Raw genomic sequence first — 17,029 nt, 5'->3', positions numbered from 1 at the left:
ACATAAAATAGTAGATGACTCAGTGTCTTCAAATGATTAATTGCTGGTTTTTTTGCCTGACCTCTTTCTTCATTTCTTCAATAATAAATCTATTGTCATGCATTGAATTACGGAAGACTGAAGCTCCCAAATGCTGGGCCTGAAAATGCACTCACTCTCTCCAACAGCATGCGGGTGTTTCTCATTAGTTTCATAAGTGCCAAGAAAATTTCAAAATGATACCAAACAAGAATATTTTAAATTTTATCACATTACCAGCTAAGAAATCTGTAAGCACATTGTTAATTCACTTATATTCATCGCACAGCAAAACAAATATGGCATTTCAAAACTGAGAAAGTTAAAGCCTCCTATAAGAAGTCTATAGCCACCGTTTCTTGAGTCCTGTCTTCATATCTCATTCCTCCCAGAGCACATCTCTCACCAAGGTTCCTGTTAGATTCCATTCTGGTTTGTGTCTTTGTGGAGGCATGTCTGTCCGTAGCCAAGACACAGAGGGCTAGACTGGTTGTAACACAAATCAGAAATTTCTGCCTTGCAGCTGCCTGGGGAAGTAACAGTTAATTGAGCGTGGGAGCTGTGTGTAGACCCTCAAGACTAACAGTTAAGAGGCAAGGTTTCAGTAAAAATGTTTAGAAGCTGCATACCACACAGCTGGAAATGAAGGGCAGAGCTGTTTTCTGGGGAATTTGAATTATGTGTACATCCAATCGAGAACAATAAATGAATTTGTGTCCAGCAATAATAATCCCTCAGTTATAGATAGACATACCATTTATGCAGCACTTCCCATGAATTCTGTCTCACTGAGCCTCACAACAGTTCTGTGCATACAAGGCTGTTAATTGCAAGCCATTTTATTTATTTATTTATTTATTTTGAGAAGGAGTTTAGCTCTGTCGCCCAGGCTGGAGTGCAGTGGTGTGATCTCAGCTCACTGCAACCTCCGCCTCCCAGGTTCAAGCAATTCTCCTGCCTCAGCCTCCAGCGTACCTAGGATTACAGGCATGTGCCACCATGCCTGCAATTTTTGTATTTTTAGTAGAGATGGGGTTTCACCATGTTGGCCAGGCTAGTCTTGAACTTCTGACCTCAGGTGATCCACCCGCCTCGGCCTCCCAAAGTGCCAGGATTACAGGCATGAGCCTCCATGCCCGGCCATCATGTCATTTTAGAGATAAGAACTCCAAGGCTGCAGGAGATGAAATAGTTGGTTCCCTTTTGAACTAGATGTGAGTGGCAAGCTGGGGATCACATTCAGGTTTTCTGAGGGTACTTTTTACTAAGCAGGATGCCTCTGTCCTCAAATCCAGGTTAAGGAATTCACCCCCTTAACCGGCTTTCCATTTGACAAAGTGAGAGTCCTATTAATCTAATACTGAACTTCTGTTAGTCCATTTCCATTGTACTGAAACACAAAAGACAAATTCCCATCATTAAGAAAGTTGTAACAAGGGGGATATTTATGTCTCTCTCCCCGTCCTGCTTTGTATTCTCTTTTTATTTTTTTCATTGCTTTTGTAATTCAGATTGTATTAGAAATTAGAGGAAGGTTGAAACTAGGTATATGGTGACCAAGGTGTGGAAGATGGAATTCATCCTCTTTTCTCCAGGTTTTTTGAGTGGAAGTTCTGACAATAGGGACAGTTGTGTCACTGTGTTCTATGCAGTGTCATTTTATTTTCCTGAAAACATTTGTCCTTGCTACAAGTAGATTAGAGGTTAGAATGCAGGATTGGCAGGCAGGATTTGTGGTTTCTATTTTTAGCCCTGCCACAATTTTATTGCACAAGGGTGAGTCCTAAGCAGTGTGGTTTATTGGAGAGAGAACTCGATTGGAACTGGCTCTCCTGTGAATGAATGATACTGAGCACCATAGCTGAGCATCAGCCGAGAGGAAGGGTCCAGACTAGTGTGAGCCCCTCCATCACCAAATACAAGCGTTCCTATAACTAATGTATGTGATTCACTACTCTGCAGGAGGACCTGCAGAACAATCCCATTGGGCCTCTTTTCACAACTTTCTACAGTGGGAACAGAAGCCACTCTTTTAAAAGGATTCAGCCAAAGGAAGAAGGACCTTCAGTTGTTGAGGTTGTTTTGATTTGTTTTGTTTTTGAGGCAGAGTATCACTCTGTCATCCAGGCTGGAGGGCAATGGAGCAATCTTGGCTCACTGCAACCTCCACCTCCCGGGCTCAATTGATTCTCATGCCTCAGCCACCCAAGTAGCTGGGATTATAGATGAGTGCCACCACGCTAGGCTAATTTTTGTATTTTTAGTAGAGACGAGGTTTCACCATGTTGGTCAGGCTAGCCTCAAACTCCTGAACTCAAGTGATCTGCCCGCCACAGCCTCCCAAAGTATTGGGATTACAGGCGCGAGCCACTGCACCTGGCCAACCTTGAGTATTTCATTCTGAATATGTTTCAGGGTCTGTGCACAGACCTACAGGTCTCCACTTAATGAGAATGAGAGAGAGAGACAGGGAGAGAAGTAGGTCAAAAGAACAGTACGTTATTTGAAGATGTAGGGATGGAGTGGGGGTAATATGTTTTTGGATGATCACTGGTGTTTCCTTGACTTCAGATAACATGATTCAGACTGGGCCAAAGAGTTTAGAAAGCAAAGGGGAGAGAAAAATTATCGTGTACACTCTAACTCCAAAAGAGACCTGTAGTAGCCTTCTGAGCTTAAAGGAATGAATTGAACCAAATATGTTCAAAAGACATTGGATCAGCCTTGCACTGTTCCCAGATAGCATAGACCCAAGACCTCTCCGTTCTGTTCAGCATACCTGAAGACACCTACGCTCAGGTCTAATCCAATCTAGGACCTAGCAGTACCTCAGCCTGGAGAGACAAATAACTTTGGCCCTGGATTCTGAGTCTCAGCATCTACGGCTTTACTTTCCTAGCCCCGAGCCATCTTTATTAGATAATTGTGCTTTTGCCTTCTTCTCCATTAATGAAGCCCCATGTAACCTAACCTAGTCCCTCTAGAAATACATACAATAAACTTGACTTAATTCATTTATTCCATCATTTATCCACTCAAGATATATGTATGCATGCTTATTATGTGCCAAACACTGTGCTATGCCTGTGGACAGAGTGGCAGCAACAAAAGCCAATAAGACAAAACTGCATGATCTTTGCTTGATGGGAGACAGGGCCAAAAAAAAAATTACACATATAGGATATATAATTACAACCCGAGGGAAGTGCTGGGAAGGAAAAGGCAGGCTGCCATATGAGCATTGAAGCCCCAGGCAGGTGGTGGAGGACGTGACATCTGAAGATAAATACCCTGAATGCCAACCACCTGCCATCCTGGGCTTCTGGACGTGGCCCACCCTCAGTGTCCCCATTCCCTCCCACTCCTAAGAAGTTCCTCCTAGAACATCCGCTGGGCCACCTCCCTGGAAAATGCTGACCCTGTCTTCATTACAGCCCGCCCTAGCTCCCTCAAACCACAGTGACCTCATCTGAACTCAATTATGAAATTCTGACACTTAGACTTTAGCAACTGGCCCTACCACAAGAAAAAGTTTTCATTCTTTTCTCAAGATAAATTTTAAAGCAAAACTAAACCCAAGTTGGTGGGAGCAGAACAGATCTGTCTGAGAACAAGGGGAGCACCCTGAGGCAGCACAGGGCTGATGCTTGGTGGCTTCTCTTCTCCTCTCTGCCCTTTGAGATGGAATGTGGGGCAGGCAGAAAGCACTACTCTCCAGGTCAGGAGACCTGCACCCTGGCTTGTCCACTAAACTTGTCAGCTGTATCCATCTCTACGGGTCCCTGAGGAGGTTTGATTTGCTTAGGTTTGAGGTGAGTGTGTCTGCTGCACACATTTACTGGTCCTTTTTAAAAGCTGAAAATTTAACAATTTGTTTTTAGGCTGTATCAAAATGTCACTTCTCTGTCAAAATGACTACGTCTCAATGCCTTGTCCACTTTGTGTATGATTGGTGACAGCCCAGCACCCTGTCACTCTAAGCCATCACTCTGGTTCTTGGGTAACAAGCTGAGTAACCCAATAAGAAAGGATCAGGGCTAAATATAGAAGGACATAGTTGTAGAAAGGGAGAGAGTCTGAGACTTTGTGTTTAGCTGTGAATACATTTTTTCTTGATTTTTCTTGTTGGTATTAATGACATTCTATTCCATTGAAATTAATATTTAATGAACAATAATAATGGGCCAGGCACTTGGCTAGGATCTGGGAATAAAATGATAAATAAGATTGCCCAAGCCTCAAACAGCTTAGAACCACCCAGAGAAAATACAATTAAGTATATAATTACAATAGGGTATATTCAATCTCAAAGGTAGAATCCCTAAGGGGCCTCCATCCCAGATATGGGAAATAGAGAAGGGCTTATCTTAGAAGAAGGGATCTCAGTTAAGGCTGCTGCTATCTACTTACTTTTTCTTTTTAATGGCAGTTGAATGGCATGAAGTTGATGGCTCATAATTTATTCAAACATTCTTCAGTTGTGAAAAATTTAGACTTTTGTGCTCAGGCTCTCTCGCTCTCTTTTTTGATTGTAAATAATACTGTCATTAGACAGCCCTAGCAGGTCATTTGTCACTCTAGTGGGCCTCATTGTTACTTATCAAATGAGTTGGGCTGATGTAGTTTAACAGAACTCATTCATCTCTAAACCTTTATGAAATGCAACCTTACGTAGATGACTTCACTTTCCAGATTGTAAACAGGCAAAAAAACACATCTGTGGACCACTTCCTTCTGACACACAGCCTGTAATTTTTATATATTTCTTCCTTCCAATAATCGGTGTATATGGAGACTGAATTAATTGTAGTTTTCATTTAAATAAAGCATAATTATAATAGTAAATCTCCACATGGTTTCATGAAAGAAAATCATATAATGCATTCTAAGATCAAATATAAATTATTTGGAATTAGCTGCATTTTTAAAAGTATCTATGCCATTGTTCCTTGAGTAGAAATGGTTTGGTTATTATCTGTGGTTTGTATTATCTCTGTTTTTTCTCCACTGGGACATATAGTAATTGAAAGTTGAGTGCAGACTTTACAATTATGTTTTCGAATTGATCAAATCATCTTAGAGTTGCTGTGTAAAGCTTAATTAATGCTTTTTAAATGCTTTAAGATCTTATTAAAGGCATCGAAAGAAAGTTTTATTCTGAATTCTGAAATATTAGACTTCCACATTATATCTATAAAGAATATGAGGTTTCTTTTATGTCAAAATCTGCTAAAGCAAAGTAGAGAAGGAAAGAATTGAGGAAATGATATTCTCCAAAATAAAACATAAATGATGACATTTCCACTCTGCTCTTTTGTGCAATGCATTGCCTAGGAGAATCATTTCAAACTTCAAAGCTCTTGTAATTTACATCTTAGAATTTATGATGCCTAGATTCATTGTGTGCCACACTTACCAAAAGATGACCTCCAATATTCAATCAGAGAAGTTTCCTGTGCAATTTACTCTATGCCTGTGAGCAAAAAAAAAAAAAAAAAAAAACTAAAATATGCTATTCCTGGCTGGGTGCAGTGGCTCAGGCCTATAATCCCAGCATTTTGAGAAGCTGAGGTGGGTAGATCACCTGAGGTCAGGAGTTCAAGACCAGCCTGGCCAACATGGTGAAACCCCATCTCTACTAAAAAATACAAAAAATAAATTAGCCGGGCATAGTGGTGCATGCCTGTAGTCCCAGCTACTCAGGAGGCTGAGACAGGAGAATTGCTGGAACCCAGGAGGCGGAGGTTGCAGTGAGCCGAGATCATGCCAATGCACTCCAGCCTGGGTGACAGAGTGAGACCCCATCTCAAAAAAAAAAAAAAAAAGATTCATTTTTAATCCCAGCACTTTGGGAGGCCTAGGTGGGCAGGTTGCCTGAGGTCAGGAGTTTGAGACCAGCCTAGACAACATGGTGAAACCTCATCTCTACTAAAAATACAAAAATTAGCTGGGCCTGGTGGCGGGCACCTATAATCCCAGCTACTTTACAGGCTGAGTCAGGAGAATTGCCTGAACCTGGGAGGAGGAGGTTACAGTGAGCTGAGATTGCACCACTGCACTCCAGCCTTGGTGACAGAGTGAGTTGTTTTGAGTAGTGGGTATGTGGGTGTATACAATTGCCAAAGTTCTCAAAATGAACCCTTAAGGTCAGTGCATTGTATGTAAATTAAATCATAATTAAATATTTTAAAAGTCTTATGTGTTCTTTTTTAGTTTTTTAAAGAAGGGGTCTCACTGTGTTGTCCAGGCAGCGGCATGATCCTAGCTCACTGCAGCCTCAAACTCCTGGGCTCAAGCAATCCTCCCACTTCAGCTTCCCAAGTAGCTGGAACTCCAGGCATGCACCACTGCACCCGGCAAATTCTAATTACATTGCTTTTCTAGAATTTATATTTAAAAGGTAATCTTAGAATCCCCATCTTCATTTTGCAGATTTTTTTAATATGCTTCTTAAAATTTGCATTATTTTTGTAAATTACACCACAACATGTGTTACATTATGGGTGAAATGATATCAGATTCTCTTCAAAAATTAGAGAAATTTGGCTTGCTGTATTTGTTTTGTGAATTAGTTCACATGGCAGCAGCGTGCTCTCTCCTTCATAAGCATTCACACAAACTACAGGGATGTCAACAGGACATCTGTTTTGTTTTTGTCCTTGGTGGCGGTAAAGCTTTGTGCTGACCCATTCACACACTCTCACCTGGCCTCCAATAACCCAGCACACATATCTGTGAGACAGTTGGTGAGAGTTAGGGATTTAATCTGTGGCGACTGGAGCTGAAGTACTCTCACTAAGTGTATTTGACGATATGGAAATGAGAACCCTGACCTTGGCCTCGTTAGCACTCTCTTCCAAACAGCTAAGTGAATCAGCCATTGGCACGTACCAGTAATAAACTGAAAACATATGGAGTTGAGAGTGACATTAAGGGGCACAATCGGTCATTCTTTTCCCTTTAAGCCCTTGGTGATATGATGCAAATTCTCAAGCTTTCTAATACCCAGAATCACACTCCCATCACCATTGCTGTCCTGCTTTCTTCTTCTGCACCCACAAATATACAAGTAGGACGTATGACTTTTACTCCACAAACAAGAATGTATGAAAAATGTCACAATACTTCATTTTGGTTGAAAATCAAAATACAGCTGGGTGCGGTGGCTCACGCCTGTAATCCCAGCACTTTGGGAGGCCGAGGCAGGTGGATCACCCGAGGTCGGGAGTTCAAGACCAGCCTGACCAACATGGTGAAACCCCATCTCTACTAAAAATACAAAAATTAGCCGGGCACGGTGGCGGGTTCCTGTAATCCCGGTTATCCAGGAGGCTGAGGTGGGAGAGTCACTTGAAGCAGGGAGGTGGAGGTTTCAGTGAGCCAAGATCATACCACTGAACTCCAGCCTGGGTGACAGAGTGAGGCCCTGTCTCAAAAAAAAAAAAAGAAAAGAAAATCAAAATACACTTGATTATAAGTCCTCATCTTACTGGGCCTTCCAATGTTGTGCAAAAGCCCCTGGGAACTTACCCAGAGCACCTCATTTGGACCTAGCCTCTTGTCCTCAATTCATAGCGATCACCACCTGTGTACTCATGTCCAAACTCCTGCGATCCCTTAAGGTCAGACAGCTCTGTTTATTCCTGCCAAGCCTGGCACAGAAATCTTTGCCAGGGCTGAAGGATTCCAAATCTAATATTCAGCCTCTTACCACATAGTTATTCCTCTCCAAGCTCCTCCCCAACATGCTTCAAGAGTGCTGGGCATGGGTCTTTACTTGAAGAACACGCTGAAGGCCAACATTCTTTCTTCATCTTAAAGAGTCTCTCCATTCTCTCCTGTTTCTGCTTCTATCCTTCTTCCTAAGCATTCTTGGATTAGGATTTGCAGCGTTCTTTCTTCCAAAGCAAATCTTGGGTTAGCATTTGGAGAGGGGAAAAAGGAGAAAAATAAAACAAGAAAATATAAATTAATATCTCAATTATGCAAACATAGGCACACATTGTAAGAATATCACCAATATCTTGTTTTTTATTTTATTGTATTTTATTTTATTTTATTTTATTTATTTATTTTGAGACGGAGTCTTGCTCTGTCACTAGGCTGGAGTGCAATGGTGCAATCTCTGCTCATGCAACCTCTGCCTCCCAGGTTCAAGCGATTTTCCTGCCTCAACCTCCCGAGTAGCTGATATTGCAGGTGACCGCTACCATGCCCGACTAATTTTTGTATTTTTAGTAGAGACATGGTTTTGCCATGTTGGCCAGGCTGGTCTCGAACTCCTGACATCATGATCTGCCCATCTGGGCCTCCCAAAGTGCTAGGATTACAGGTGTGAGCCACCACGGCTGGCCAATATCACCAATATCAATGTATCAATCAAGATAGCTGGTTTTGGTTTGAAACTCTATTACTGATCAGCTGTGAGAACTTAGACAAGTTACCTAAATACAGAGAGCCTCGCTTTCCTCATCTGCACAATGAGGCTAAGCATTAGCCCAACTATTTTACAAGTCTAGTTTGAGGACGAAAGTAAACAGCAATAACCCTGTACCATTTATAGAGTTTGTTTTCCATTTATTTAATTCATATACTTTTCCATATAATCTGAGGATGTGACAGCATTTTATAATTAGCAAAAAAAAAGGGCACAAAAGTTATATAACATTGTGTTTTTTAAATAAAGATCCAGCAATCATATCTGGATTTTTTTAAAGTCTCTTCCATCCCCGCCCCCATCTACCACATTACATATTGCATATTCCCACTTTCTATTAATTGTGAAGAACATTATTTTAATTATTTTCCCATTGTCTCTAAGATCCAAGCCCAGCCTTCTATATGATGGTCCTATATTCTGGCAACTAGTAATTTAAGCTTTTTTCTCTACATCAGTTTAAAGGGACTACCAGAAGACACCTTTATCATCTTGTCTCAAGGCTATGTCGAGTCTCATGTCATAATCCAGTGTGCAGGAACCTTGGTTCCACTAGAGATCAAACTGGTCGACTGCATGGGGGACATCATGATGTCTGGATCTAAGGAACAGTAGGTAGCATGTATATCAGGTGCCTAGTTAAGATACAAGAGGCTGGGCGCATTGCCTCACAGCTGTAATCCCAGCACTTTGGGAGGCCAAGGCAGGCAGATAACCTGAGGTCCGGAGTTCGAGACCATCCTGACCTACATGGAGAAACCCCGTCTCTACTAAAAATACAAAGTTAACCGAGTATGGTGGCGCATGCCTGTAATCCCAGCTACTCAGGAGGCTGAAGCAGGAGAATCACTTGAACCCGGGAGGCGGAGGTTGCAGTGAGCCAAGATCGCCATTGCACTCCAGCCTGGGCAACAAGAGTGACACTCCATCTCAAAAAAAAAAGAAAAAAAAGATACAAGCTTGTCGGAAGGTAGAAATATTAACCCCATGAAATCCAGAAGCCAGCTACCTGAGTGAAGTTTCTAGAGATCTAACATTCTGGATCATATTAAGATATTCCCCACAAAGTGGAAGACAAGTTGGTACCTTGCACCAACTATAACAAAGAAAGATTTTCAGTGTTAGCCTCTATTTTGGAGGCAAGATACAGCACATTTGAGTGTGCTGCTCTGACCAATTTAGCATAATATTAATACAACCAGCTTTGAGTGGTGACCAACTGAGAGCTAGTCCGGAATGTAGACTGTAGACGCATCCAGCACCAGCACGTGCAAGGCAAGGGCCATGTGGCCCAGCAGATCCAGTAGCACCTGATGTTTCTATAGTAAACAGGGATGCTGTGTGGAGCCTATGGCAAACCTTAAGAGGATAACCATGTGCATATTCCTAGCGTTTGAAGTAAAGATGTGGCCTCTTTTCTAGATAACTGTTTTCCTTTTAAGAAACTTCTCCTGTCTTGCTATTGAGCTTTTGTTTGTTTCTTTCTTTGTTGGTTTGGGTTTTTTTGAGACAGAGCCTCGCTCTGTCGCCCAGGCTGGTGTGCAGTGGCGTGACCTTGGCTCACTGCAACCTCTGCCTCCCAGGTCCAAGCAATTGTCCTGCCTCAGCCTTCCGAGTAGCTGGGATTACAGGCGTGCGCCATCACATCCGGCTAATTTTTGTATTTTTGGAAGAGACAGGGTTTCACCATGTTGGCCAGGCTGGTCTTGAACTCCTGGCTTCAAGTGATCCACCCCCTCCAGGCCTCCCAAAGTGCTGGGATTATAGGCGTTAGCTACCACATCTGGCCACTATTGAGCTTTATAGAGACTGAACACCTGGCCATGTCACCTGAGCTGCCCACAATTGACTAGGTGTTATCTGATTCATTAGGCCACACAATTAAGCATGCATGGCAATACTTCATCACCAAGTGGAAATGGTACACACCAAACCAGACTCCAGCAGATTCTGAAGCAACAATGTAGTCACGTGTACTGAAGGCTCGGGCTCCTATGGCACATTCTTCTGCAGCATTGCCATCTTTCCTTCATCCAGTGTTAGGTTTTTATGGTGATCTCCCTGTGAACAAATTGCTGAAGAAGAATCTGGTTTATAGATTTCTTTTTTTCCAGTACACTGGCAAGCTAGGAATAGAGCATTATAGCCACGATAAGAAGTGTGCTAAAACAAACAAACACACTAAGAAAGAGAAATCCTGACCGAACGCAGTGGCTCATGCCTGTAATCCCAGCACTTTGGGAGGCTGAGCTGGATGATCACCTGACGTTGGGAGTTCAAGACCAGCTTGGCCAACATGGTGAAACTCTGTCTCTACCAAAAAAAAAAAAAAAAAAAAGAAAAGAAAAGAAAAAAGAAAGAAAAAGAAAAAGAAAAGAGAAATCCTTTCAGTGGAAAGACTTTAAGCAACATTATCTCCTTGTCCGCTTTGGATTGAGAGATGGCCTGAGATACGGATGGACGTTTACTGCTTCGTGTATAATGGCTAATGGTTTGGCTGAACAATCAGGAATTTAGAAAGAAAGGATTAGAATATTGTCTGCAAAGCAGTATGTGGACGGACCTCTTAATTGTCAGAGCATGAGGGTATTTAAGTGTTGTGCGAACGCTCACAAAGGCATCTGCTACAGAGCTCTCAATAATCAGGTAGGAAGGATGGCTTATTCAATGGATGTCTGTCAGCTTATTTCTCCAAACAGGTACTTGCTCAATAGATTCATATACAAAAGACCATGCCAGCAAGGACGAAGGCTGCATATGGGCTCAGCACCATAGACTTCCCATTGGTGATCTGCTCACCACCACCATTAAGTGCTTAAGCTGACAGTAGCAGAGGCCAACACACGTTTCTATTATACCACCATTTGGTAGGGAAGGGGGACAATCCAGGCACCAGCGGCACTGAACCACTTCCATCATGAGGAGCTCTAGTTGTCTTCCCCAGAATAGACACTTAATCTGGATATTGATTTGTTTTATTTGGTTGCAATATTTCTGCCAACACACTATCCATGGACTTATGGATTGCCTTATCCACCTTCATGGTATCCCACGCAACATTGTTCAGGCTAAGGAACTCATTAAAAAAGAAAAGAAAAAAGTATAGCAATGGGCTCATGCCCATGGAACTCACTGGTCTTATCACTAACTCTTAGAAAGATCTGGCCTCGGTTGGGTGTGGTGGCTTACGCCTGTAATCCCAGCACTTTGGGAGGCCAAGGCAGGTGGATCACCTGAGGTCAGGAGTTCGAGACCAGGCTGGCCAACATGGTGAGACCCCGTCACTACTAAAAATACAAAAAATTAGCCAGGCATGGTGGTGCATGCCTGTAATCCCAGCTACATGGGAGGCTAAGGCAGGAGAATCACTTGAACCCACAAGGTGGAGGTTGCAGCGAGCCGAGACAGCTTCCACTACACTCCAGCCTGAGTGACAGAGTGAGACTCTGTCTCAAAAAAAAAAAAAAAAAAAAAGGATCTGGCCTCAGAGAAAAGGTAGAATGGTCTCCTAACGACTCAGTTGAGAGAACATCTGTGGGGTGAAATCACTATCCTACGAGATGCAGTATATGCACTTAAAACTGTGACCAATACGTGGTGCTTCTTTCCCCATAGCCAGAATCTATGGTTCTGGAAATAAAGAGGTAAAAATGACAATAGTTGCTCTCACTGTTCCTCCCAATAACCCACTTATAGAATTTTTGCTTCCTATTCCCATAGCTTTGTGTTCCACTTGTTAGAGAGCTTGGTTCCTAAAGGAAGAATGATTCTAGCAGGGAAACAACAATTGTTCTATTGAATTGGAAGTTGAGATTACCATCTGGCAATTTCAGTTCCTTGTGTCACTGAACGAACAGACAAAGGAAGAGGTTACTGCACTGGTTGGGGTGATTGCTTCTGTTTAGCTGTATTGGCTGCTGCACAGTGTGGCCGGGGCATACTAGATCTGGAGCTGAAGGGACTCTCTAAGGCATCTCTGTCATTTTTTATGCCTGATAAAGACAGGGCTTTGGGCTGGATGCAGTGGGACACGCCTGCAATCCCAGCACTTTGGGAGGCCGAGGTGGGTGAATCATTTGGGGTCAGGAGTTTGAGACCAGCCTGGCCAACCTGGTGAAACCCTGCCTCTACTAAAAATACAAAAATTAGCCAGGCGTGGTGATGTGCGCTTGTAATCCCAAGTACTCAGGAGGCTGAGGCAGGAGAATGGCTTGAACCCGGGAGGCGGAGTTTGCAGTGAGCTGAGATTGCGCCACTGTTCTCCAGCCTGGTGACAGAGTGAGCCCCCATCTCAAAAATAAAAATAAATAAAAAAAAATAAAGGTGGGGGGCTGAAAAAACCTCAGACCCTTCCGGGTCACTTCACTAGATAAAGAATACTGACCAGCTGGCGGAAGGCAAGGGAAATGTAGAATAGGTAGTAGAAAAAGGAATTTATAAATATTAACTGTGGCTTTGTGACCAGTTCCAGAAATAAAGTAGTGGATACGAATACTTTTGTCTTCATTTGTTTCTCTTCTTTTTTTCCTCCTAACTTTCAAATATTTTATATAAACACTGTTGGTGATAATTAACTTTATAATATATAAAGAGTATATAAATGTATATACACTATATATATATATATATTCTCTTATGAATAAAAACAATAATTAACATCACCCAGAGATGAATGTGAAGAGTGTTAAGAGATTTGTAACTCCATTTTAGGGGTAGAAGTTGAAAGCATGTTTTCAAAGGGAAGTTACAACTTGCTACCAGAAGCATGAAGTTACTATTGCTGCAGTAGAGAAGTTTTCAAATGGGTAGAGGATGATATGTGGATGCTTGGTACCCAACGGGAGGATCTGTGATGCTTATTCACCTACCGCCTCTCAGCCCCAGATGCAGCTTCTACACAGTGCTCTGTGATGCTGGGGTTAGGGATATGAGAACCATATTTCTTTTCTTTTTATAGACAGTCTTGCTCTGTCGCCCAAGCTGGTGCTCTTGGCTCACTGCAACCTCCACCTCCCGAGCTCAAGCGATTCTCCTGCCTCAGCCTCCCGAGTAGCTGGGACTACAGGTGCGTGCCACCACGCCTGGCTAATTTTTGTATTTTTTAGTAGAAATGGGGTTTCACCATGTTGGCCAGGCTAGCCTCGAACTCCTGATCTCAGGTGATCCGCCTGCCTCGGCCTCCTAAAGTGCTGGGATTACAAGTGTGAGCCACCATGCCTGGCCGCGAACCACATTTCTAAGACTCTTTTTACCAACTTTCGCCAGTTAAATTCTGCCAGTGAGAGGCATTGAGGGAACTATGAAAGGGAGAAGGGGAGAGGAGATACTTTTCCTGCCTTTGGCCATCGTCAGCATCTCTCCAGCACAGACACAGCAAAGCCTCTAGCATCTTTTGGCACCCCGAGGATGGCCAGGCCAAATCCCCTCTGGGTCTGGACATCAGCTGCACAGTGGCCTCCTAGAAGCCCACACAGTTTCTAGCATAGCCATGAGGCACCTCTGCAGAGGCTTCAGCCAGCTGGGCAGGTGCTCTCAGTGACTGGGCACAGCTGTGTGACACCCTCTTAGCAGCCTCAATAACAACTAAGCCACGGCCTCTCCCCAAACCCCAGTCTGAGGCAGTGGCTCCTCATAGCTGTAGGGATGGTAGCTACTTATGATTTTCATAATCTCTTGGTTAGTTCGCTATCCTTTTTTTTTTTCAGGCTAGTAATTCCTTGTATTTACCCGCCTCTGTTTAAAACATCCAGTATGGTTTCTCTTTTCCTAACTGGATCTCAACAGATACCAGCATATATTTTTTATGTTGATAATAAAAAATTTAAAATACACACAGAGTCCAAATAAAAATATTTAATATTTGTGAACATCTTTTATTAGTTTGAGTTTTTAAAAAATTAAACCTCCTCCAGAATTCAACCTCCTTCTGTTGCTGGACAGTGTGAGACCTCAGTTTCCCTTGGGATCACGTCGCCATGTTAGTCTTCCTGGTGGCATTTTGCCCAGCTTCTAGTCTTTTTCCCACAAATACAAAAACAGGCTATATAGCCCCTTCTAGAGTACTGAGGGCAAAGACTAAAAGCGTTATTCGATGTGAATATAGGGAAGTCAAAACAATGACTTTTCAAAAATTGCAGCCTCAGTGTGTATCCATTACACAGAATGCGTCTACTTCTCAGTTCATATGGCATAAAAACACAGGGGTTCACTGCCTGTCTTTGGGGATGGGGTCACGTGGGCCAATAGCGGGACTGACACGTGAACTTCCTAGTCCTGCCAAATGTCATGAGGAGAGTGGCGATTTAAGCAGACATGCATGCCAGTGCAACACGGAAGAAACTTCTTAAGGCACTGGCTCCTAAGAGAAGCATTCTTCCCCGGGAATGTGCCGACATGTACGGGCTTCCTAGAAGTTCTATACAGTTGGGGCAGTTTCAAAATGAGACAATGAGCAGAAAAATCGCAGCGCATCCCCCCTTTGCCTTCCATTTTATTTCTGCGGCCCCCACCCTCCAACGGAGGGAAGCTTTGTAAGCTGAAATGAAAAAAGGCATCTACAATAAAATGAGGGATCCCACTGCCACTGGTATTGAAATTCCTACTGTGGCTAACGAGCAATAGCAAACATTTAAAAATATGCTTCACTATCCCTTATTCAGTTCATCCGCAGGAGAGGAGATGTTTCCATTGCACTTGGGAGAACAGGGACTTGGGTTTCATGTCTGCAGATGGGCTACAGGCACATACAAGATAATGTGCTCTTGCCGGGTGCAGTGGCTCACGCCTGTAATTCCAGCACTTTGGGAGGCTGAGACGGGCGGATCACGAGGTCAGAAGATCGAGATCATCCTGGCTAACACGGTGAAACCCCGTCTCGACTAAAAATACAAAAAATTAGCCTGGCGTGGTGGCGGGCGCCTGTAGTCCCAGCTACTTGGGAGGCTGAGGCAGGAGAATGGCGTGAACCCGGGAGGCAGAGCTTGCAGTGAGCCCAGATCGCGTCACTGCACTCCAGCCTGGGTGACAGAGCGAGACTCCGTCTCAAAAAAAAAAAAAAAAAGATAATGTGCTCTTTCACACTGCTGTGAGAGACCTCCCCACAGCATATTCCCAATGGGTTATAATTTTAAAAGAGGCTCTTTGATTTAAAAAAAAAAAGGCCTCCTCTAGTTTGCAGTGAGCCGAGTTCGCAGTCGCTGCACTCCAACCTGGGAGACAGAGCCAGACTCCATCTCAAGAAAAAAAAGACTTCCTCTAACTTGAGTCGTGTTATCAATCATACCAGCTTTAGTAATTGTCAAGCCACAGAAGGAAGAATGGAGAGGAAAAAATAATCCAGCAATTTTAAAATATTTTGAAGTGCAAAAAAGGGAGATCATGGCCTCGTCTTACATGGAACATGCTATTTACTATAAGAAAAGCCATTTTGTCCATTGCCCTACCGATGAGGTAGGAGGGGGAAAGTATTTTTTGCATGTGAAAACAGCACAGGAATATTAAGAAAGTTGTGTTGTTTCTTACTCCTGAGAAAGTCTTTCAGAGTCTTTTCTGCCAGTCTTTCTAGAAGTACTTTATCAAATAGATTCTCTTCTTTTTGCCCCAAATCATAGAAGCAGAATAAAATGCTCCACTGAGAATACTGAGAATGGAGATTTAAGATGTGAGAGGACTAGAAGAAGTATCGAAACCCAGAAGAAATGTCACCTCTCCCAGGAAGCATTAGCTTCTTCCTTTGTGCTTCCGCGTTCACATCTGTTGTAGTTATTTGCTTGGACTCTATCTCTTTGCTGGAGGGCAGGAAACATGTCTTCTTCAGCTTGGTGTTTTCCCAGCATTAGCCAGGACCTAGCACAAGGAGGGTTCAATAAATGTTTAGCAAGTAATGATTGAACAAAGAAAGGCAGGCTTTGAAACCAGATCTTAAACTAACCTCAGTAATGAACCTGCCTGGATAGTCAGGATAAAGTTGTTGGCAGAGGTTTAAAACATTCTTAAAGCGCATTACCCAAAGCATCAGGATTTTAGCAATAAGATAAGGAATGATCTCGAATCTAGAGGCCCAGGTCAAAAACAGAATGAGGGAAAGGGAAGATAGTGGGAAAGGCTGCCCACTGATTTTATGTGTCCCATAACCCTAGAGACCATGCTTCTGAAAGCCATCTCACAACTCCCTTTGAGCATTAGGATGTCAACTGCCAAGATAAACCCAAGTGCATGATAAAGCACACACACACAGATTTGCATAAAATTTAATGTCTTTCCTGTCAAGGAGTCAGCCTTCTGGCAATGAGAACTATTTCTTAAATTATCTACTCGCAAAGAAAAAAACAAATCTCCAGACAGGAAGCAGTGAGAAAAAAATGGTGAACTGTTGAAGTCCTGAAACAACAACCAGTTCAAAATGATTAACTCTTTGTGATCTAGAAAGAAAGAAATGCACCTTTATGTTTCTGGATAGGATGACGGCTCTCGCAGTCAGACTGCAGAGAGGGTTCTTGCAGTGTTCCCCTCAGAGTCTCTTGATACTAACCAGCTCTGGAAATCAAGATCCCGGTGACTACCTGGAGAATGAAG

General features: G+C 42.9%; 1 long non-coding RNA gene across 1 annotated transcript in view, besides 2 other annotated features; it reads right to left on the bottom strand.

The window, feature by feature from the left end:
* Nucleotides 334–628: a silencer, noted in NCBI's record as "tiled region #4767; K562 Repressive DNase matched - State 5:Enh". NCBI's record gives its function as "represses a minimal TATA promoter and a strong SV40 promoter by Sharpr-MPRA in K562 cells {active_cell/tissue: K562}" and the evidence as "EXISTENCE:reporter gene assay evidence [ECO:0000049][PMID:27701403]".
* Nucleotides 3,601–3,700: an enhancer, noted in NCBI's record as "active region_20839". NCBI's record gives its function as "activates an Ori minimal core promoter by ATAC-STARR-seq in GM12878 lymphoblastoid cells {active_cell/tissue: GM12878}" and the evidence as "EXISTENCE:reporter gene assay evidence [ECO:0000049][PMID:35858748]".
* Nucleotides 14,294–17,029, bottom strand: part of LINC00501 (long intergenic non-protein coding RNA 501) — a 28,994-nt gene continuing 26,258 nt past the window's right edge. Inside the window, exon 2 of the long non-coding RNA NR_047465.1 lies at nt 14,294–16,300. This is a non-coding gene — a long non-coding RNA (long intergenic non-protein coding RNA 501). The remainder of the gene's footprint in view (nt 16,301–17,029) is intronic.

The sequence above is a fragment of the Homo sapiens genome, chromosome 3, assembly GCF_000001405.40.
Source record: "Homo sapiens chromosome 3, GRCh38.p14 Primary Assembly".
In the NCBI taxonomy this organism is placed as follows: domain Eukaryota; kingdom Metazoa; phylum Chordata; class Mammalia; order Primates; family Hominidae; genus Homo; species Homo sapiens.
The sequence above is the reverse complement of the archived record's forward strand: the minus strand, read 5'-3'. Positions and strand labels throughout refer to the sequence as shown.